The sequence below is a fragment of the Homo sapiens genome, chromosome 11 (genome assembly GCF_000001405.40).
Source record: "Homo sapiens chromosome 11, GRCh38.p14 Primary Assembly".
Taxonomy (NCBI): domain Eukaryota; kingdom Metazoa; phylum Chordata; class Mammalia; order Primates; family Hominidae; genus Homo; species Homo sapiens.
The window spans coordinates 23,288,403-23,310,718 of NC_000011.10; the positions used below are offsets into that span (position 1 = coordinate 23,288,403).

At 36.4% G+C, this 22,316-nt stretch overlaps 2 annotated features.

Annotated features, from left to right (window-relative positions):
* Window positions 15,384-16,583: an enhancer, noted in NCBI's record as "CDK7 strongly-dependent group 2 enhancer chr11:23325332-23326531 (GRCh37/hg19 assembly coordinates)". NCBI's record gives its function as "activates an origin of replication core promoter dependent on BRD2, BRD4, P300/CBP, MED14 and CDK7 cofactors, with strong dependence on CDK7, by STARR-seq in HCT116 cells {active_cell/tissue: HCT116}" and the evidence as "EXISTENCE:reporter gene assay evidence [ECO:0000049][PMID:35650434]".
* Window positions 15,554-16,150: an enhancer, noted in NCBI's record as "H3K27ac-H3K4me1 hESC enhancer chr11:23325502-23326098 (GRCh37/hg19 assembly coordinates)". NCBI's record gives its function as "activates a minimal SCP1, AML or CMV promoter by ChIP-STARR-seq in naive H9 embryonic stem cells {active_cell/tissue: H9 hESC(naive)}" and the evidence as "EXISTENCE:reporter gene assay evidence [ECO:0000049][PMID:30033119]".

Genomic DNA, 22,316 nt, shown 5'->3' on the forward strand with positions numbered 1-22,316 from the left:
TTAATGGTGCTTTCTGATGTCTGAAGAGCTTAAACACATTGTGTTGATTAGTCAGTGGATAAAATTGTTTTCAATGAAATGGCTGTGGTAGGAAAATGATTTTGGCAGGTATGACACAGAAGATTTTATTTCTAATGTATGTATTGAGTTATTGTTTGTTTGGTTGGTTGGTTGGTTTTAAAGGTAGATATAATCTTAATATGTATGCACTGTGGCCTACATTTCTTAAAAACATAAGGAAGTTGAAGATTGCTTTCATAATCTAATCAATCTTACATCACTTTCCTGTCAGTAACAGGAGGAAAACTTTTATGGAAAGTAAATGACTTTACAACATAATAAAATCAATTTATTCAGTCAAAAACTTTAAATTACTTATTATTAAGCAGGTATGCATGGTAAAAAATAATTTAACAATATAAACGATCATTTTTTGCAACTCTTATCCAAACCCCAAGCCCTACATGGAATATTAATCCTTTTCGGTTTTAAGTTTTCCTTATAACTAACTTCATTACCCTAAGTAATATTATTATGTTTCCACTTCTTGGTTTATCAGATTCAAACTGTATTGACATACTTTCTCACTTTTTATCTCAAGTCCTAAAAGATAGTTTTTTTTTCTATTAGTTATATTTAAAACTTAAAAAAATTAAAACCATAGTTTTTTTCTTTATCAAATATAATGGCATATTTTTATTATAACCAATACAAAATGAAGAAATTTGTATTTACAATTTACTGTATCTCTTACCCACCTTATTTCCAAACTTCTGTCAGTTATAATATTGCTTTAATATTATTGACACATAATTCATATTGCTTTGTAACAATAATTACATTTTTCCTTATTTTGTTATGCAATGATTCTAAAAATTGAAAAAGCAAAAAGTAGCACTTACTGTCCTGTTATTACAACTACGGTTCATCTAAGACTAAGAACAATTACTGTAAATTTTAAACATTATTATTTTAAATTATAACATGTTTTAGTTTTTTAATATTTGATTTTCTACATAGATTTTTTTTTATTTCTCCTGGAGTTTCTTATCTTTCTGTTTGTCCTTCTTTTTAAAATGCAAATGACTTTGTCATAAATCTAAGATTTATTTGTCGTATATGTAGTATTATTATACTAGAATTCCTTTATTTCAAAATTATTTTTCCTAGGACTCTCTGACTTCAAGCTCAACTAGCCCAATTGATCTTTAGGCCATTTCCATGACTAAAATTATGAGATGTTTCTTCATACATTTATAAATTAAAAACATTATTTCTGGAAAATAATGTATTTCTTTTTGCCTTTGCGTTTGTGTGTTTGGTTGGTTGCTTGGTTGGTTGGAGTATTTGGTCATTCTTTTTTTTTTTTTTTTTTTTTTTTTAGGACGGAATCTCACTCTGTTGCCCAGGCTAGGGTACAGTGGCAACATCTTGGCTCACTGCAACCTCCGCCTCCTGGGTTTCAAACAATTCTCTGCCTCAGCTCCTGAGGAGCTAGGACTACAGGAGTGTGCCACCACGCCAGGCTAATTTTTTTTTTTTTTTTTTTGTATTTTTTAGTAGAGACAGGAGACGGGGTTTCACCATATTGGCCAAGCTGGTCTCGAACTCCTGATCTTGTGATCCACCCACCTCAGCCTCCCAAAGTGCTGGGATTACAGGTGTGAGCCACCGCGCCTGGCCTGTTCTTTCTTTTTTCCAAAATGAATATATAAAAAGTAAACTTTGAGTTCTTATATAGTGAAGCAATCTCCTTACCTCACATTTGATATAGATACTATGAAGTCCATGGGAAAATTATTAGAAGTAATAACTCTGAAGTCAGATGTCTTATTCTCCAATATCACCACTGACCTATGACCTTGGGAAATTTACTTATCCTCTCTCTACTTTTAATTCCTAATCTGAGTGATTGGATTTTAGTTGTGTCTAACACACAGGATCAAGTAAATAAGTACATGTAGAGTTCTTAGAACAAGGTCTGGCCCATTGTGAGCATTGAATAAATATGGGTTGTCATTAGCATATGGACATTGAGTCTGGGTTCCAGTCATATTCCACCAAATTCTGAAAACCATTGCTTCCTCGTTGTCTAGCATGTGGTATTGCTGGTAAAAAATCTTGTCAATTTAGTTTTTATTAGTTTGAATCTCTCTAAAACCATTTAGGTTCTGGTCTCTGTAAAACCTTTTAGAATCTCTCTTGGTCTTGGCATTCTGAAGTATCATGGGACTGTACCTGGATGCTGAGGAATTTTTCCATTCATCTGTTCAGCCTTTGTTGGTCCCTTTAATCTGAAAAATGTGTTTCTTCTGTTTAGTAAATTTTCTTCATTATCCTTGAACATAATTCTTGTATATTTGTTTCTCATCGGTTTTCTCTTTTCTCTGTTTATGACCACATATGGAGGCAACAAATAGACATTCTCAAATGAGTAACATACTCAAAACTATACTGCCCATGGATCCTCCTTAAATAACATTCTATTAGAAACTATGTTAGGGAAAAGGGCCACAAATAAATAAAACAATACATGTTAGAGAATGACTGAGTAGATCCTGCTTTTACACTTAATATATTGAACATTTACATACTGTTAGAAAGTGTTACTATTATATTAATGCCTTTTTGATATTTCATCCTTTAGATGCAATAAAGCTTCTTTAAACAAAGTTGTTTTAATTTGCTCAGGAGGGAAATTTCTTCCCACGTTTCCTTACTTAAAGAGTATCCATTAGCATAATAACCCTTACTTCTCTCACTTTCCTCTACAATCTGTGTCAAAAAAGACTTACCTGATTTGTGAGTTTGGAAAAAGAAACTGGAGGCACACAGCCCTCTATCTTTCCTTTGGACTGACTCCAGAAATGAGTATGGGTGTGAGTTTGCTCTCCTGCAAGTCATTCAATTTAAATAACTTTCTGCTCCTATGGGATGGTGGTGGCAGTGAAGGAGCTTTGAGTTTGAGGAGTGTAAGTCAAAGAACCTAACAAATTAAGAAATAAGTGAAAATTTAAGAACAAACTAATAAAAGTTAAGTATTCTGGAATAGGTGCGCAGGTAGATTTAATCTTTTGGTTCTTAACTAAGCACAGATTTTTCTATTGGTAATGTGAAGCCTATATTTCCAAAGTAACTATGCTTTCACACATGCAATTAGTTGGTTTTCAATACTTGCAGCATGGAAAAGTACTTTAGATCTTAATTTACATGATGTGCTTTAAAGAAGATTGCAGTTTAAACCACCTTACTTTACATGTAGGTGGCTGTTTCTTTAGAGGCAGGGCTGCAAATATTAGGCCTTAGGAGAAGCAAAAGTTTTAGAGTTTCAGAGTCTTAACAAAAGCATAATCCTTTAGGGGCCTTAGCTAGATGTGGAACTACTGCCTATAGAAGACACCAAATATTCTGGCCAGATATTATTTGGGACCATAAGTTTCCAGGATGTTACAGGTTGATTGTCAGTTCTGAAGGCACAACTTTTATTTAACAAGCATTAGAACACCAGTGAAGGTTGTTAATGCTAGGTAAAAGCAGTGTGTTCAAAGAAGAAATTCAAATGAAAATTCTTTAATATACTGGGTAGAAAATAAACACACTTTAAATAACAATTGGAGATAATCTCATTTCAAATTTCTAAACATTTCAAGAAGGCAGCAATGTCTCAAAAAATAAAATTAGTAAAATTATTTCTTAAGAAATATATTTTTCTAAACAATTGAGAAATAAAAATTATTGAACCCTGTATTCTATCCAATAAAATAAAATGAGGAAACAATGAAAACAAAGTCAAACCAGAACCAATGATGAAGTCCATAAGAAGAAAAAAACTTACATATATTATAAATACAAAAATTAATACATATAAATGTTTAAATAAAAATTATATTTTGATAGGATTTCACTGAATCTGTAGATTGCTTTTGGTACTATGGCCATTTTAATGATATTAATTCTTCTGATCCATGAACATGGGGTGTTGTTTCCAATTTGTTTGTGTCATTTATAATTACTTACATCTGTGTTTTATAGTTCACATTGTACAGATCATCTTCTTGGTTAAGTACATTCTTAGATATTTCATTGTTTTTTGCAGCTATTATAAATGGGATTACCTTCTTGATTTGGCTCTCATCCAGATAGTTATTGCTGTATAGAAAGGCTACTGATTTTTGTACATTGATTTTGTATCTTGAAACTTTACTGAATTCATTTATCAAATTTAAGAGATTTTTGAAGGAATCTTTGGAATTTTCTAGCTATAAGATCATACCATCAGCAAAAAGGGAAAATTTGACCTCCTCTTTTCCAATTTGGATGGCTTTTATTTCCATCTCTTGCCTGATTGCTGTGGCTAGGACTTCTGGTACAATGTTGAATAGGAGTGGTGAAAGTGAGCAACCTAAAATTAATATGAACCAAAAAATGTCCAAATAGCCAAAGCAATCAAAATCAAAAAGAACAAACCTGGAGGCATCACGTTACTTGACTTTAAATTGTACTATAAGGATATAATAATCAAAACAGCATGGTACTGTTATAAAAAACAGACACATATATCAATAGAACAGAAGAGACAACCCAGAAATAGAGCCACATACTTGCAACCAACTGATCTTTGATAAAGTTAACAAGAACACACACTAGTGAAAAGACACCTTTTTAATAAATGGTGCTGGGAAAATTGGAGTGTCACGGGCAAAAGAATGAAACTGAATTCGTGTCTCTCACCATATACAAATACCAATTCAAGACGGATTAAATAATTAAATGGAAGACTCAAAATTATAACAATACCAGAAGAAAACCTAAGAAAAATTCTTCCAGAAATTGGCCTAGGCAAATAATTCATGACTAAGACCTCAAAGTCACAGGGAACAAAAACAAAATAGACAAAGGGGACTTAATTAAACTAAAAAGCTTCTGCACAGCAAAAGAAACTATCGGCTGCGTAAACAGACAACTTGCAGAATGGGAGAAAATATTTGCAAACTGTACATCTGATAGAAACTAATATCCAGAATTTACAAGGAAATCAAACATTCAACAACAACAAAAAATACACACACACACACACACACACACACACACACACACACATAATCCCATTAAAAAGTAGGCAAAGGATATGAACAGACATTTTTTAAAAACAGCATACAAATGGCCAAGAAGCATATGAGAAAATGCTCATCATTACTAATCATCATAGAAATACTAATTAAATTCTTAATGAGATAGCATTGCACATTGTATTAGTTCATTCCCTCATTGGTATAAAGAAATACCTCAGACTGGGTAATTTGTAAAGAAAAGATGTTTAATTGGCTAATAGTTCTGTACGCGCTATAGGAAGCATGATCCTGGCATCTGCTTGGCCTCTGGGGAAGCTTCAGGAAATGTACAGTCATGACGAAAGGTGACGGAGGAGCGCACATATCACATGGCCAGAGCAGGAGCAAGAAACAGAGTGGGGAGGTGCTACACACTTCTAAACAATCACATCTCGGGAGAACTCACTCACTATACAGTACCAAGTGGGGATGGTGCTAAACCGTTCATGTGAACTCTGCCCCAGGACCTAATCACCTCCCACTACGCCCCACCTCTAACACTGGGGATTACAATTCAATGTGAGATTTTATGGGGACACAGATCCAAACCTTATCAAACACCAATCAGAATGGCTGTTACTAAAAAGAAAAACAAAAAATAACAGATGTTGGGGAGGATGCAGAGAAAATGTCACTCACAATTACACACTATTGATGGGAATGTAAATTTGTACAACTTCTATGGAAAGCAGCATGGAGATTTCTCAAATAACTAAACATAGAACTACCATTTGTTTGATCCAGCAATCCATCTACTATATATCTACCCCAAGAGTAAAAATCAACATCAAAAGGATACATGCACTCAAAAGTTTATTATGGCACTATTCACAATAATGAAGATATGGAATTGACTTAAATGTCCATCAATAGCTGACTGGCCAGAGAAAATGGCATATATACACAATAGAATACCATTCAGCCATTAAAAAAAGGAATCATGTCTTTTGCAGCAACATGAATGGAACTGGAGGACATTATCTTAAGTGAAACAACTCAGACACACAAAGACCAACACCGTATGTTCTCACTTGTAAGTGGGAGTTAGATAATGTGTACACATGGACATAGGGTGCAGAATGATAAGCAATGGAGACATGAAAGGGTGGGAAGTCAGAGGGGTTTGAAAGATAAAGAATTAATTAATTGGTCCAATGTACATTATTCTGGTTATAGATACATCAAAAGCCTTGACTTTTCCACAGTGCAAATATATCCATGTAACAAAATTACACAATACCCCATAAATGTATATAAAAAGTTACAAAGATTCAAATATGACATTATTGAAAAGACCAGTAAAAAGACATAGATAGCATAGTTTAAAAAGCAGAAAGGAAACCACTAATTCACATTTTATGTAATGAAGAATAGGAAGTGGAAACAAATACAAAGTAATTTTTAAAAATTATAATCAGGTAGTAAAGTATAATACTTGATGCTAACAAATTTGCACATCTGTGTGAAATCTATAAATCTCTATGAAAACTCAGTGAGGTTTAGAAAATTAAATTAGATTAAAATCATGGAAGAAACTTAAAAATTTGTCAAAAACTCCTACTAAAATTTTACAGATAAAATCTTTTAAGATATAGATAATTTCTATGTTAAACTGTATAATGACATTGACATTAAAATTCAGCATTATAGTATAAATAGCAACGCATTAATGATAAAGTTCCTGACATTTGATTATCTCTCAACATTCATATCCAACTTATCACCAGCTCCTGATCATTGTACCTCCTATCTTTCAAATTCATCCAATTCTCTTTACTTCCAATACGTTTACTCATAGAAAGTAAACAAAATATTCTAACATGGCTTGCAGACATTGCCTTCTCTGCCCTCTACCCATCCCTCCAGATTCATCAGGCAATAAGCATTATCACTAGCTCATTTCTTGTCAGTCAAACGTGGACCTTGGTCTTTACAAGTCCAGTAAAAAGGAGCTGAACTAGTGTCAAGTTGAAAGAGGCCTCACCTAGAGCACTCACTGACTGAAGAATTGCTGTAACCCCATTAAGAGAATCTGTGTAGGGTTGGAGGCTGTAAATCTGGAGCTGTTTGGGGGTCATAAGTGGCCAGATAAAAAGGCAAGTAAAATGTCAAGAATCTGAAGGTGGAGAGTTTCAGTAATGGAAGGAGGCTTTCAAGTAACTCTAAATTGTGAAATATAACATGGTTAGTAATGGGGCATGGATTTGAATTTAATACTTGTCTTCTAAATTAAAAATTTCTTCAATTATATCATTTGAGATTAAAAATATGTAATCTTCTTCATCTGAGAGTTTGTTCTGTAATTTCTATTTTAAACTATTAAATTCTGTGCTGTATAGGGAGATATAAAACATTCTGAGGTATCTTTATAATTAATCCATTTTTTTCTGCATGTAAATTAATACACACCAAAGGATACTTTGCCAGATGCCTAAATAACTGAAAACACTAACACCTATCTTTTTCACTTATTATTTTTCTACTTATTTTCATACTTTACATGTATTCTATAGGCTATTTTTAAATACAAATAGTTATGGGTGTTTTAAATGTTATAAGATAGCTTTATTGTCAAAAATATTTTTAAGAGGCAAGTGAGAAAGAGATTCTACCCTAAAACACAGATATGATGAAGTAGAAAGCTAAAATTGTTATTTTGTTCTGTTAGACATAATAAGACTTTGACTCAATGACCTCCTTTACTCTCCAAACCTGGAATTTCTTTCAAATAGGAATTGGTCATCCCACTGGCCCTTTTATTTAGATGTTTAGTCACCATTTCAATCTCAACCATGTCTTTCTTAAATTATTACAATATAATTACAGAGAGTTCCCAAGTGCAGAGGAACCAAGTCTTTACTGAAAAGGAAAATTATGCTCTCTGTTTCTTTTGTTATGTGTATATATATATATATATGTTTATGTTCACCAAGTATTACATTTTGAAAGTGGTTTGGAAAATGCATGGGTAGGGAGGGGGAAAGCAATACTATATGTAGATTTCAAAAACCAATGTATAAACATATGAACATTAACATAATTTCAGAATTACCTTTTCATTTTATTTTGCATTTTAATTACTTCACTTGCATGCATCTAGAATTATGCTATTTTTAGCATGTTCTTGATTAGGTTAGTTAATGGATGTGTTACTTGTTTTATATTTAGAGTTGGTAAATTGTAGGATATTTCTGTTCTTGAATAAAGTATAACTAACCTCCAAATGTTTTTTTATTCTGCATTAGCATATCTTGTAAGTTGCCTATTTGCTCTAGAAAAACATGAGAAAACATAGTTGAAAGTTAACAAAATATTGAAATTTCAGTGTTGTATTTCAAAAGCAATAAAAGGACTTTGAGTAAAAAGTAAAGCACAATATAGCATCATCTCACCTTAATTTTGAGGAGACTTGCTCATATTTTTTGAATAGTAGATAACTATTCAATAAAAGCAAAATGGTCATTAAGACTTTGCCAGTAAGGACATATTTATATGGTCTTATACCATATAACAACATTTTGTTCAATGACAGTTATAAGATTATAGTGGAGCTAAAAATTGTCCACCTCTCAGTGATGATGTAGCTATTGATAGTGCAGCACATGACTCCCCTATTTGTGATGATGCCAGTGTAAACAAACTTACTGTATTTTCATGCACATAAAAGTATTGGATGATACAATTACATATAATACGTAATGCTTAATAATGATAAATGAATATGTTACCAACTTAAGTATTTATTATAATATACTTTTTATCATTATTTTAAAGTTCACTTCACCTACTTATTAAAAAAGAAACCTAACTGTAAGCCTTAGGCAGTTCCTTCAGTAGGCGTGTCAGAAGGCATTGTTCTTATAAGAGATGGCAGTTTCAAATGTGTTTTGTCCCTGAAGACCTTCCAGTGGGACAAGATGTGGAGGTGAAAAAACACTGATACTGATGATTCTGACCCTATGTAGGGCTAGGTTAATGTATGTGTTTTTGTCTTAGATTTTAACAAAAATATTTTAAAGGTAAAAAATAATAAATGAAAAATGGAAAAAAGCTCATAGAATAAGGACATAAAGATAGGAAATATTTTTGGTACAGCTGTATAGTGTATTTGTGTTTTATGCTAAATTTTATTATGAAAGAGCCAAAAAGTTTTATAAATTTAATAACAAGTTGATAAAGTAAAAACACTATAGTAAGGTAAGGTTAATTTAATATTGAAGAAAGAAAAAAAATGAATAAATTTTGTGTTGCCTAAGTTTACAGTGTGTATAAAGTTTACAGAAGTGTACAGTAATGTCTCAGACCTTCGTATTTACTCCCCACTCACTCACTAACTCACCCACAGCAACTTCCAGTCCTGCAAGCTCCATTCATGGTAAGTGTCCCACATAGGTGTACCGTTTTTTATCTTTCATGTCATATTTTTACAATACCTTTTTATGTTTAGATACGTTTAAATATTCAAATACTTACCATTGTGTTACAGTTGCCTACAGTATTCAATATAGTAACATGCTGTACAGGCTTGTAGCCTTGGATCAATAAGTCAGAAAGTCAGACCATAGATCCTTTTTTTTTTTTTTTTTTCACTGTGTTAGCCAGGATGGTCTTGATCTCCTGACCTTTTCTTTTTTTTTTTTTTTTTTTTTTTTTTTTATTATACTTTAAGTTTTAGGGTACATGTGCACATTGTGCAGGTTAGTTACATATGTATACATGTGCCATGCTGGTGCGCTGCACCCACTAACTCGTCATCTAGCATTAGGTATATCTCCCAATGCTATCCCTCCCCCCTCCCCCCTCCCCCCACCCCACCACAGTCCCCAGAGTGTGATATTCCCCTTCCTGTGTCCATGTGATCTCATTGTTCAATTCCCACCTATGAGTGAGAATATGCGGTGTTTGGTTTTTTGTTCTTGTGATAGTTTACTGAGAATGATGGTTTCCAATTTCATCCATGTCCCTACAAAGGACATGAACTCATCATTTTTTATGGCTGCATAGTATTCCATGGTATATATGTGCCACATTTTCTTAATCCAGTCTATCATTGTTGGACATTTGGGTTGGTTCCAAGTCTTTGCTATTGTGAATAATGCCGCAATAAACATACGTGTGCATGTGTCTTTATAGCAGCATGATTTATAGTCCTTTGGGTATATACCCAGTAATGGGATGGCTGGGTCAAATGGTATTTCTAGTTCTAGATCCCTGAGGAATCGCCACACTGACTTCCACAATGGTTGAACTAGTTGACAGTCCCACCAACAGTGTAAAAGTGTTCCTATTTCTCCACATCCTCTCCAGCACCTGTTGTTTCCTGACTTTTTAATGATTGCCATTCTAACTGGTGTGAGATGATATCTCATAGTGGTTTTGATTTGCATTTCTCTGATGGCCAGTGATGATGAGCATTTTTTCATGTGTTTTTTGGCTGCATAAATGTCTTCTTTTGAGAAGTGTCTGTTCATGTCCTTTGCCCACTTTTTGATGGGGTTGTTTGTTTTTTTCTTGTAAATTTGTTTGAGTTCATTGTAGATTCTGGATATTAGCCCTTTGTCAGATGAGTAGGTTGCGAAAATTTTCTCCCATGTTGTAGATTGCCTGTTCACTCTGATGGTAGTTTCTTTTGCTGTACAGAAGCTCTTGAGTTTAATTAGATCCCATTTGTCAATTTTGGCTTTTGTTGCCATTGCTTTTGGTGTTTTGGACATGAAGTCCTTGCCCATGCCTATGTCCTGAATGGTAATGCCTAAGTTTTCTTCTAGGGTTTTTATGGTTTTAGGTCTAACGTTTAAATCTTTAATCCATCTTGAATTGATTTTTGTATAAGGTGTAAGGAAGGGATCCAGTTTCAGCTTTCTACATATGGCTAGCCAGTTTTCCCAGCACCATTTATTAAATAGGGAATCCTTTCCCCATTGCTTGTTTTTCTCAGGTTTGTCAAAGATCAGATAGTAGTAGGTATGCGGCGTTATTTCTGAGGGCTCTGTTCTGTTCCATTGATCTATATCTCTGTTTTGGTACCAGTACCATGCTGTTTTGGTTACTGTAGCCTTGTAGTATAGTTTGAAGTCAGGTAGTGTGATGCCTCCAGCTTTGTTCTTTTGGCTTAGGATTGACTTGGTGATGCAGGCTCTTTTTTGGTTCCATATGAACTTTAAAGTAGTTTTTTCCAATTCTGTGAAGAAAGTCATTGGTAGCTTGATGGGGATGGCATTGAATCTATAAATCACCTTGGGCAGTATGGCCATTTTCACGATATTGATTCTTCCTACCCATGAGCATGGAATGTTCTTCCATTTGTTTGTATCCTCTTTTATTTCCTTGAGCAGTGGTTTGTAGTTCTCCTTGAAGAGGTCCTTCACATCCCTTGTAAGTCGGATTCCTAGGTATTTTATTCTCTTTGAAGCAATTGTGAATGGGAGTTCACTCATGATTTGGCTCTCTGTTTGTCTGTTGTTGGTGTATAAGAATGCTTGTGATTTTTGTACATTGATTTTGTATCCTGAGACTTTGCTGAAGTTGCTTATCAGCTTAAGGAGATTTTGGGCTGAGACAATGGGGTTTTCTAGATAAACAATCATGTCGTCTGCAAAGAGGGACAATTTGACTTCCTCTTTTCCTAATTGAATACCCTTTATTTCCTTCTCCTGCCTGATTGCCCTGGCCAGAACTTCCAACACTATGTTGAATAGGAGCGGTGAGAGAGGGCATCCCTGTCTTGTGCCCGTTTTCAAAGGGAATGCTTCCAGTTTTTGCCCATTCAGTATGATATTGGCTGTGGGTTTGTCATAGATAGCTCTTATTATTTTGAAATACGTCCCATCAATACCTAATTTATTGAGAGTTTTTAGCATGAAGGTTGTTGAATTTTGTCAAAGGCTTTTTCTGCATCTATTGAGATGATCATGTGGTTTTTGTCTTTGGCTCTGTTTATATGCTGGATTACATTTATTGATTTGTGTATATTGAACCAGCCTTGCATCCCAGGGATGAAGCCCACTTGATCATGGTGGATAAGCTTTTTGATGTGCTGCTGGATTCGGTTTGCCAGTATTTTATGGAGGATTTTTGCATCAATGTTCATCAAGGATATTGGTCTAAAATTCTCTTTTTTTATTGTGTCTCTGCCTGGCTTTAGTATCAGAATGATGCTGGCCTCATAAAATGAGTTAGGGAGGATTCCCTCTTTTTCTATTGATTGGAATAGTTTCAGAAGGAATGGTACCAGTTCCTCCTTGTACCTCTGTTAGAATTCGGCTGTGAATCCATCTGGTCCTGGACTCTTTTTGGTTGGTAAACTATTGATTATTGCCACAATTTCAGCTCCTGTTATTGGTCTATTCAGAGATTCAACTTCTTCCTGGTTTAGTTTTGGGAGAGTATATGTGTCGAGGAATGTATCCATTTCTTCTAGATTTTCTAGTTTATTTGCGTAGAGGTGTTTGTAGTATTCTCTGATGGTAGTTTGTATTTCTGTGGGATCGGTGGTGATATCCCCTTTATCATTTTTTATTGTGTCTATTTGATTCTTCTCTCTTTTTTTCTTTATTAGTCTTGCTAGCGGTCTATCAATTTTGTTGATCCTTTCAAAAACCAGCTCCTGGATTCATTGATTTTTTGAAGGGTTTTTTGTGTCTCTATTTCCTTCAGTTCTGCTCTGATTTTAGTTATTTCTTGCCTTCTGCTAGCTTTTGAATGTGTTTGCTCTTGCTTTTCTAGTTCTTTTAATTGTGATGTTAGGGTGTCAATTTTGGATCTTTCCTGCTTTCTCTTGTGGGCATTTAGTGCTATAAATTTCCCTCTACACACTGCTTTGAATGTGTCCCAGAGATTCTGGTATGTTGTGTCTTTGTTCTCGTTGGTTTCAAAGAACATCTTTATTTCTGCCTTCATTTTGTTATGTACCCAGTAGTCATTTAGGAGCAGGTTGTTCAGTTTCCATGTAGTTGAGCAGCTTTGAGTGAGATTCTTAATCCTGAGTTCTAATTTGATTGCACTGTGGTCTGAGAGATAGTTTGTTATAATTTCTGTTCTTTTACATTTGCTGAGGAGAGCTTTACTTCCAACTATGTGGTCAATTTTGGAATAGGTGTGGTGTGGTGCTGAAAAAAATGTATATTCTGTTGATTTGGGGTGGAGAGTTCTGTAGATGTCTATTAGGTCCGCTTGGTGCAGAGCTGAGTTCAATTCCTGGGTATCCTTGTTGACTTTCTGTCTCGTTGATCTGTCTAATGTTGACAGTGGGGTGTTAAAGTCTCCCATTATTAATGTGTGGGAGTCTAAGTCTCTTTGTAGGTCACTCAGGACTTGCTTTATGAATCTGGGTGCTCCTGTATTGGGTGCATATATATTTAGTATAGTTAGCTCCTCTTGTTGAATTGATCCCTTTACCATTATGTAATGGCCTTCTTTGTCTCTTTTGATCTTTATTGGTTTAAAGTCTGTTTTATCAGAGACTAGGATTGCAACCCCTGCCTTTTTTTGTTTTCCATTTGCTTGGTAGATCTTCCTCCATCCTTTTATTTTGAGCCTATGTATGTCTCTGCACGTGAGATGGGTTTCCTGAATACAGCACACTGATGGGTCTTGACTCTTTATCCAACTTGCCAGTCTGTGTCTTTTAATTGGAGAATTTAGTCCATTTACATTTAAAGTTAATATTGTTATGTGTGAATTTGATCCTGTCATTATGATGTTAGCTGGTTATTTTGCTCGTTAGTTGATGCAGTTTCTTTCTAGTCTCGATTGTCTTTACATTTTGGCATGATTTTGCAGCGGCTGGTACCAGTTGTTCCTTTCCATGTTTAGCGCTTCCTTCAGGATTTCTTTTAGGGTAGGCCTGGTGGTGACAAAATCTCTCAGCATTTGCTTGTCTGTAAAGTATTTTATTTCTCCTTCACTTATGAAGCTTAGTTTGGCTGGATATGAAATTCTGGGTTGAAAATTCTTTTCTTTAAGAATGTTGAATATTGGCCCCCACTCTCTTCTGGCTTGTAGGGTTTCTGCCGAGAGATCTGCTGTTAGTCTGATGGGCTTTCCTTTGAGGGTAACCCGACCTTTCTCTCTGGCTGCCCTTAACATTTTTTCCTTCATTTCAACTTTGGTGAATCTGACAATTATGTGTCTTGGAGTTGCTCTTCTCGAGGAGTATCTTTGTGGTGTTCTCTGTATTTCCTGAATCTGAACGTTGGCCTGCCTTGCTAGGTTGGGGAAGTTCTCCTGGATAATATCCTGCAGAGTGTTTTCCAACTTGGTTCCATTCTCCGCATCACTTTCAGCTACACCAATCAGACGTAAATTTGGTCTTTTCACATAGTCCCATATTTCTTGGAGGCTTTGCTCATTTCTTTTTATTCTTTTTTCTCTAAACTTCCCTTCTCGCTTCATTTCATTCATTTCATCTTCCATTGCTGATACCCTTTCTTCCAGTTGATCGCATCGGCTCCTGAGGCTTCTGCATTCTTCATGTAGTTCTCGAGCCTTGGTTTTCAGCTCCATCAGCTCCTTTAAGCACTTCTCTGTATTGGTTATTCTAGTTATACATTCTTCTAAATTTTTTTCAAAGTTTTCAACTTCTTTGCCTTTGGTTTGAATGTCCTCCCGTAGCTCAGAGTAATTTGATCATCTGAAGCCTTCTTCTCTCAGCTCGTCAAAATCATTCTCCATCCAGCTTTGTTCCGTTGCTGGTGAGGAACTGCGTTCCTTTGGAGGAGGAGAGGCGCTCTGCGTTTTAGAGTTTCCAGTTTTTCTGTTCTGTTTTTTCCCCATCTTTGTGGTTTTATCTACTTTTGGTCTTTGATGATGGTGATGTACAGATGGGTTTTCGGTGTGGATGTCCTTTCTGTTTGTTATTTTTCCTTCTAACAGACAGGACCCTCAGCTTCAGGTCTGTTGGAATACCCTGCCGTGTGAGGTGTCAGTGTGCCCCTGCTGGGGGGTGCCTCCCAGTTAGGCTGCTCGGGGGTCAGGGGTCAGGGACCCACTTGAGGAGGCAGTCTGCCAGTTCTCAGATCTCCAGCTGCATGCTGGGAAAACCACTGCTCTCTTCAAAGCTGTCAGACAGGGACATTTAAGTCTGCAGAGGTTACTGCTGTCTTTTTGTTTGTCTGTGCCCTGCCCCCAGAGGTGGAGCCTACAGAGGCAGGCAGGCCTCCTTGAGCTGTGGTGGGCTCCACCCAGTTCGAGCTTCCTGGCTGCTTTATTTACCTAAGCAAGCCTGGGCAATGGCGGGCGCCCCTCCCCCAGCCTCGCTGCCGCCTTGCAGTTTGATCTCAGACTGCTGTGCTAGCAATCAGCGAGATTCTGTGGGCGTAGGACCCTCCGAGCCAGGTGTGGGATATAATCTCGTGGTGCGCCGTTTTTTAAGCCGGTCTGAAAAGTGCAATATTCGGGTGGGAGTGACCCGATTTTCCAAGTGCGTCCGTCACCCCTTTCTTTGACTCGGAAAGGGAACTCCCTGACCCCTTGCCCTTCCCAGGTGAGGCAATGCCTTGCCCTGCTTCGGCTCGCGCACGGTGCGCGCACCCACTGGCCTGCGCCCACTGTCTGGCACTCCCTAGTGAGATGAACCTGGTACCTCAGATGGAAATGCAGAAATCACCCGTCTTCTGCGTCGCTCACGCTGGGAGCTGTAGACCGGAGCTGTTCCTATTCGGCCATCTTGGCTCCTCCCGATCTCCTGACCTCAGACCATAGATCCTAAGTGTGCAGTAGGCTTTCGCGTCTAGGTTTGTGTAAGTATAATTTATGACATTTGTACAATGACAAAATAGCCTAATAATGGATTTCTCAGGATATATCCCAATTATTAAGCAATGCATGACTGTGTACACACACACACACACACACACACACGCACACACACCCGACAGATTTTTGTTTGTGATTGTTGCAGAGACTTAGTATTCCTTTTCATTTCCCCCATCGCTTGCAGATGGGCCATGTGATAGGATTTTGACAAACGGAAATGTAGAAAAAAGTACTGGCCATTTCCAGGCCTGGCCCTTCAATACATCATACAAACCTCTAGATCTCTCTTTCCCTGCCGTATCAGCAGTTTCCGACTCCACATTTTCCAGATGGTATTGCTGCAAGACAGAGGAGGGCCACCTGACCACATTATGCCATGCATAAATGAGAAAGAAAACTCTACACTGTTAAAATACTGTTGTTACCTATGGCAAATCCTTACCAGTCTGCAGCAACCTCAACTCTTGCCTCCTCAGAAGAAACAATTTGACTGAGCATCATAAGGCAGAGGAAGAGAGCAAGGCAAGATTTAGAGCAGGAGTGAAAGTTTATTAAAATGCTATAAAGAAGGAATAAAAAGAAAGTAAAGTACACTTGGAAGAGGGCCAAGCAGGCATCTTGGAGCTAAAGTGCCCCATTTGACCTTGGGCCTAGGGTTTTATATGCTGGCATTCTTCTGGCGTCTTCTGTCCCTTTTCCCTTAACTCTTACCTTGCGGTGAGCTGCCTGCATGTGCGGTGGCCTGCTGGCACTTGGAATGTGAGCACGTGTGGTATGTTTACTGGAGTTGTATGCATGCTCACCTGAGGCATTCTTCCCTTTACCAGTGGAATGCCCCCGGAAGATCACACACATTAAACTCCGCCATTTGGCCTCTTGATGTGCATGCTTGAGTCTACTCACCCAGCTCCGGAAATCTTACCCAGAAGCTGCTGATCACCGGTTTCAATTGCTGCCTATCTATAAGGAGACTGCATTTCCCTGGAGTTGGTTGAGATCTTTTATTAAGAAGCAGTGTGACAACTGCCTGACAATCATCTGATGGTTGCCTGACTTTTTTGGTGGGGTGTGGGAACCCTCTCCTGCCCTGTTCGTGTCTGACTAGCTACCCAGTATAACACTATGATTTCAGAATTTTTGTTGTTGCAAATTAACAGTTATAGTAATAGTTTTAAGAATGAAGAGATTAAGGGAAAATCCAGTGGAAGAAAGTTGATGAACAAAAACAGTATCGTTGAGAAGGCAAGATAGCTCAATAGTGAATTCATAAAGTAGAATCAGAAATGTGGTCTTATAGAAGACAAATAGAAACACAATCACTACAAACGTTCCCAAAATGACCTGAATAGATGTTGTCTTTCTTACGACAACTGGGAAGGTTGTCAAGCCATTTTTATTATAATCTTCAATTTGGCCCTTTTACATGTCAGGTATTGTGTTAAGCATGCATGTGTTTTCATCTTTATAAGAATATCCTGAAAAGGTGTTACTATGATTCTTCTAAAATGATTAAGAAACTGATGCTTAAACAGGTTAAGTAAATTACCCATGGAAAGAGAGATACTACATGGTGGAGCTGAGGCTTGAACTAAGTTTTTCTCTCCCAAAGCAGAGACATGCAACTCACCATACATACTACTTCTCTTGAACAGAGAAGTGCACTCAGTAAGTTGAACCAGCATTTCTGTCAACTGTACAAATCAGACAGTTTGCACTGCACCACTGGATACTGATATAGATATTCCTGTAGTCACTATTCCTCCATATTTCATTAAGCTGTCATTATGACACTATAAATCCTTTAAATAACATCTTAAAAGTTAATAGTGGTGGGGTTTGAATGCCATACCTTTAATTCTAGTAACTTTGCTGACTTCTTGACTTTTAACTCTCATCAATAGACAAGAAAATAACAAATGTCCTTAATTTACATGGGAAAGATTTCCTACTTAAAACCTTCCTAATGGTTTGCCTGTGACTTTACAGTATGAGCCTATCCTCTTTGCCATTGCTTACAGACTTCACCATGGTCTGTTGTCTGCTTTTATCTCCAAACTCATCTCACTACAATCTGCATCCACCTCTATATTCTAAGTTTACTTGAACGCACCGAGTTAATTCCCTCTAAATGTCTTTGCATCTGCTGTTCCTTCTGTCTAAAGGTCCTTCTACTGACTCTTCAAATGTTGGTCTTCTCCTCATTATTTTGGTCTCAACAAAATTTGTCAACTACTTAGAGAGACTCTTCCTGCTCAAGGGCTGTGAAGAGATCCATCCCCATTATACTTGACCCTGTTTTATGTCTCTCCTGGAGCTCATGCTGCTGCAAATTGATCTGGTTCATTAATTGACTTATTTATTAATTCCTTTTTTAATCCAACAAGAGCATGAGTTCCATGAGGGCAGTGATTTTTTTCTACTGCCTTTAATTTGCGGCTATATTTCTCCACTTGGAACAGTGACTGACACAAAGTAAAGATTCAAATCTTTGTTGAATAACTGAATGAAAGTATATTTGATGTCTTTTAAAAAAGAACTGAGATGAGGCCGGGCGTGGTGACTCACGCCTGTAATCCTAGCACTTTGGGAGGCCAAGGTGGGCAGATCACCTGAGGTCAGGAGTTTGAGATCAGCCTGGCCAACATGGTGAAGCCCCATCTCTACTGAAAATACAAAAATTAGCCAGGCGTGGTGGCAGGCACCTGTAATCCCAGCTACTTGGGAGGCTGAGGCAGGAGAATCGCTTGAACCTGGGAGGCAGAGGTTGCAGTGAGCTGAGATCTGCATTCCAGTCTGAGCGACAAGAGCGAAACTCTGTCTCAAAAAAAAAAAAAAAAAAAAAAGAACTGAGAAACACTGGAGAATATATAAGGTAGTAGTTAGAAATTTGAAAATGGAAGACCAGGCTTAAGGGGTTGAAACTTGGTTTTGCCATTAACTGTGGTCACATTCCTCAAACTTTCTTTTCTTCAATTTCCTTATTTGTAAATAGGGAAAATAATATAAGTTTCCTCAAGGGGTTATCTATATTTACAAATCTAATTTAGAATAGTTCACAACATAGAAAAAGCAATACACATGTATTTGTTACATAAATAAATGATAGACAATACAAGTTGTATGTCAAAAGCTTCAGGTTTCTTTCTTTGCTTTCAGTTCGGATCACTGACTTCATTTTTCAATTAAAAAGACATAGAACTGGGTTACTCAGTTTCTATCAAAATTTCTGTGTTTGTTGCTATGTCCACAGCTGCTATTATCTGGATTATTATTTGGTGCTATGCCCATAGCTGCCATTATTTGGGAGAGTTTGTGACTTCATAGGGTTGGGGTAGGGTAAAGTGATGCAGCCTGTGGTCATTTCAGTAAAGAAATGGACTGTGAATCATTTAGTTTGATACATTTTACTAAAAATATTTGTTAGATAGTTTGCACCCACACCTCATTTTGTTTAGATAGATTTTCATTTTATAAAATTGAAAGTAGAATTCTTTTCAGAATTAGATTACACTTTTTCCTTCTCTCTATAATATTTTAAACCCTTTCTCTGTATAACACTTTTCTAAGGCACTGGAGGAATTTAAGTTTGGCAGTATCACAAACATGCTTGTACAAAACTCTTGTTATCACATTGCAAGACCATGAAAATATATGTTCAAAAACAGATCAGTCATTTAACAAGAACTGGATAGCTCTGACTGAGTCAAAAGTAACTTCTTCCCAGTTCTTTAGATATGTTGTTCAATTGTGTTTAAATATGTAAGCCCAGGGCTGGCTCTGGGCAAAAACGTCAACTTTAAATCTTCAGCCTGTCATTTAATGCCCTCCACATCTTGTTTTTTCCCTACCTTTTCATTCTTATTCAGAATACATTGTCCCTTGCGTCTTGTTTTTCAGCCTTATTGACTAGTAAGAAGTCTTTTAAAACTCTGTGCAATATTTTGTGTTTGTTGTCACACATCATTGCTAGGAGAATACAGCATTGTCAGTATGACTCTAGTGGCAAAAGACAACTAAAAGCTGGTCACTAAACTATTTTAGGCTCTGCTTTATGAACCTTTTCTCATTCCTGATTTTAATATCTGTTCTTTCATTGAAATAAACAGTATCTTTGAGTGTAACAGCTTTTCTGGGTTCTGTGAGTACTTTTATTAAATAATTGAGCTTGAGGATGGTTCTGCAAATCTCTGACTACAATAACAATAAATGCAAATGATACATGCATCTTTCTCTGGGAATATCTCTTCAGAGAAGTTAAGGAAGGAATACTTAAAAAAATAACCAAACTCCATTCTAAACACAGAGGAGTGTGTGCATGTGTGTATGTGTGTGTGTGTGTCTATTTATGTGTATGTTTCTGTATGTATATTTGTATAAGGGTATATTTGTGAGTTTGTCTATGTGTATGCCTATGAGTGTGCATGTGTGTAATATAATACGTGTGTGTGTGTGTGTGTGCATATGCATGAAACATTCTAGGCGTTGAATACAGCATGTATCAAGACCCTGTAATGGTAAGGAGAGTGTGCTTTCAAGAAACTGTAAGAAGGACTGTGGCTAGAACTCAAAAAAAATAAAAGGGAATGGTAGTCAATGAGGTTAGACATAGGTAAAGGACAAAATACAAGGCTTTAAGAACTTTAAAGTTTTTCTTGTGCTGTAATGTGTGTGTAGACATGATAAGGCATGATAAGATCACTCTATTGGAAAAGTAAATTTAAAAAAATCTGTCTATAAATGAAGAAACTGAATAAATTATTGTACATCCAAACCAAACAATATTATGAAGCCACTGAAAATAACAAAGTTTTAAAAACAGATTTGTAGGAATACTTAACAATTTTTTTTTTTAGGGAGAAAGTGACATAAAAACTTAAAAAATATAATGTTTCCTTAAAACAATGACTACCTCTACATATGTGTGTGTATATAAGTATGCATATATATATATATATATATATATATATGGATCATAGAAAAATACATGCGTTACTTGGGGTAGAGACCAAATGAGATATGTATGCAGATGAGATTAGGAAAGAAGGAAAAGAAAAGCAAATTAGTACAAGGCAAAAACATATATGAAACCATATTTATGCATGAAAGTAAAATTAGACATGTTTATTCAATAAATAATTTAATAATTTATTTAGTAAAATGATATAAATGATCACCCTGACAGCAGTGTGAAAAACATTCAAATAGGTTTCAATATATAAGTTACTAGGCTATTACAGAGTTCTAGCAGATAAGTGATGTGTGCTCAGATTAGGAGTTAAAATCAGTAAGACTAGATAATGATTAGATATGGGAAGTTTCAAAGTTGACTGCTATATTCCTGATTTGTGCAGTGCCATCGGTGCAGTAGGGAATAATGAACGACCCAGGTTTGGCAGGTAGGGATTTGGTTTAATACATAATTTACCTATGCTACTTTGCAGCACCCAGGTGGAGATATCAAATAGAATGTTGAATGATTGAGTCTAGAACTCAGATTTTAGGCCTCAAAATAGAAACGTATGTGTAATCTGTGTATGCATGGTAATCAAAGTTATGAACTAGAATGAGATTACCTAGGAAGAGATAATATAAAAAGGAGAAAAAAGAAAGTCTATGAATAATCTTTGGGTAACATCTTTTCACAACAGAGAAAGACAAAGATGCAAAAGAAAAACATAACTAAAATAGAGAGAACACAACAGTGTATTGAGCTAAAGGGTCCACAATAAGAAAGTGTTTCAAAAAAAAATCTTCTCTTTTTTTTTTTTTTTGAGACGGAGTCTCACTCTGTCGCCCAGGCTGGAGTGCAGTGGCCCGATCTCCGCGCACTGCAAGTTCCGCCTTCCGGGTTCACACCATTCTCCTGCCTCAGCCTCCCGAGTAGCTGGGACTACAGGCGCCCGCCACCATGCCCGGCTAATTTTTTTTGTATTTTTAGTAGAGACGGGGTTTCACCATGTTAGCCAGGATGGTCTCGATCTGCTGACCTCATGATCCACCCACCTCGGCCTCCCCAAAAAAATCTTCCAATAGTATCAATAATACTATGCAGTAATGAAAGATGATTGGGGTAAATACACTGAATTGACTGACATAAAGCAGATTGAAACATGTTGAGGCACCAATAAGGGGGTTAGGAAGTGAAAATGAGTAACTGTAGACAATTTTTTCTAGCTCTTCAATGGAGCAGAGATAAAGCTGCAGCCAAAGAACATAGGGTCAAGAGAGAGGAATGTTGTGTGTGCATGTTTGTGGTATTTAATATGGTGGAGACAAAAGTATTCGAAATATTGAAGGGAAAGATCCAGTGAAAGAAAAAGAACAATAAAAAAGTATTAAAATAGGATATCAGGTAAGACTATAACAAATTGTACAGTAAACACTTTTAAGTAATTTTATTTAATGGATCAAGCTAGAAATTAATTAATTAAACTTTGATTTTTACCACGC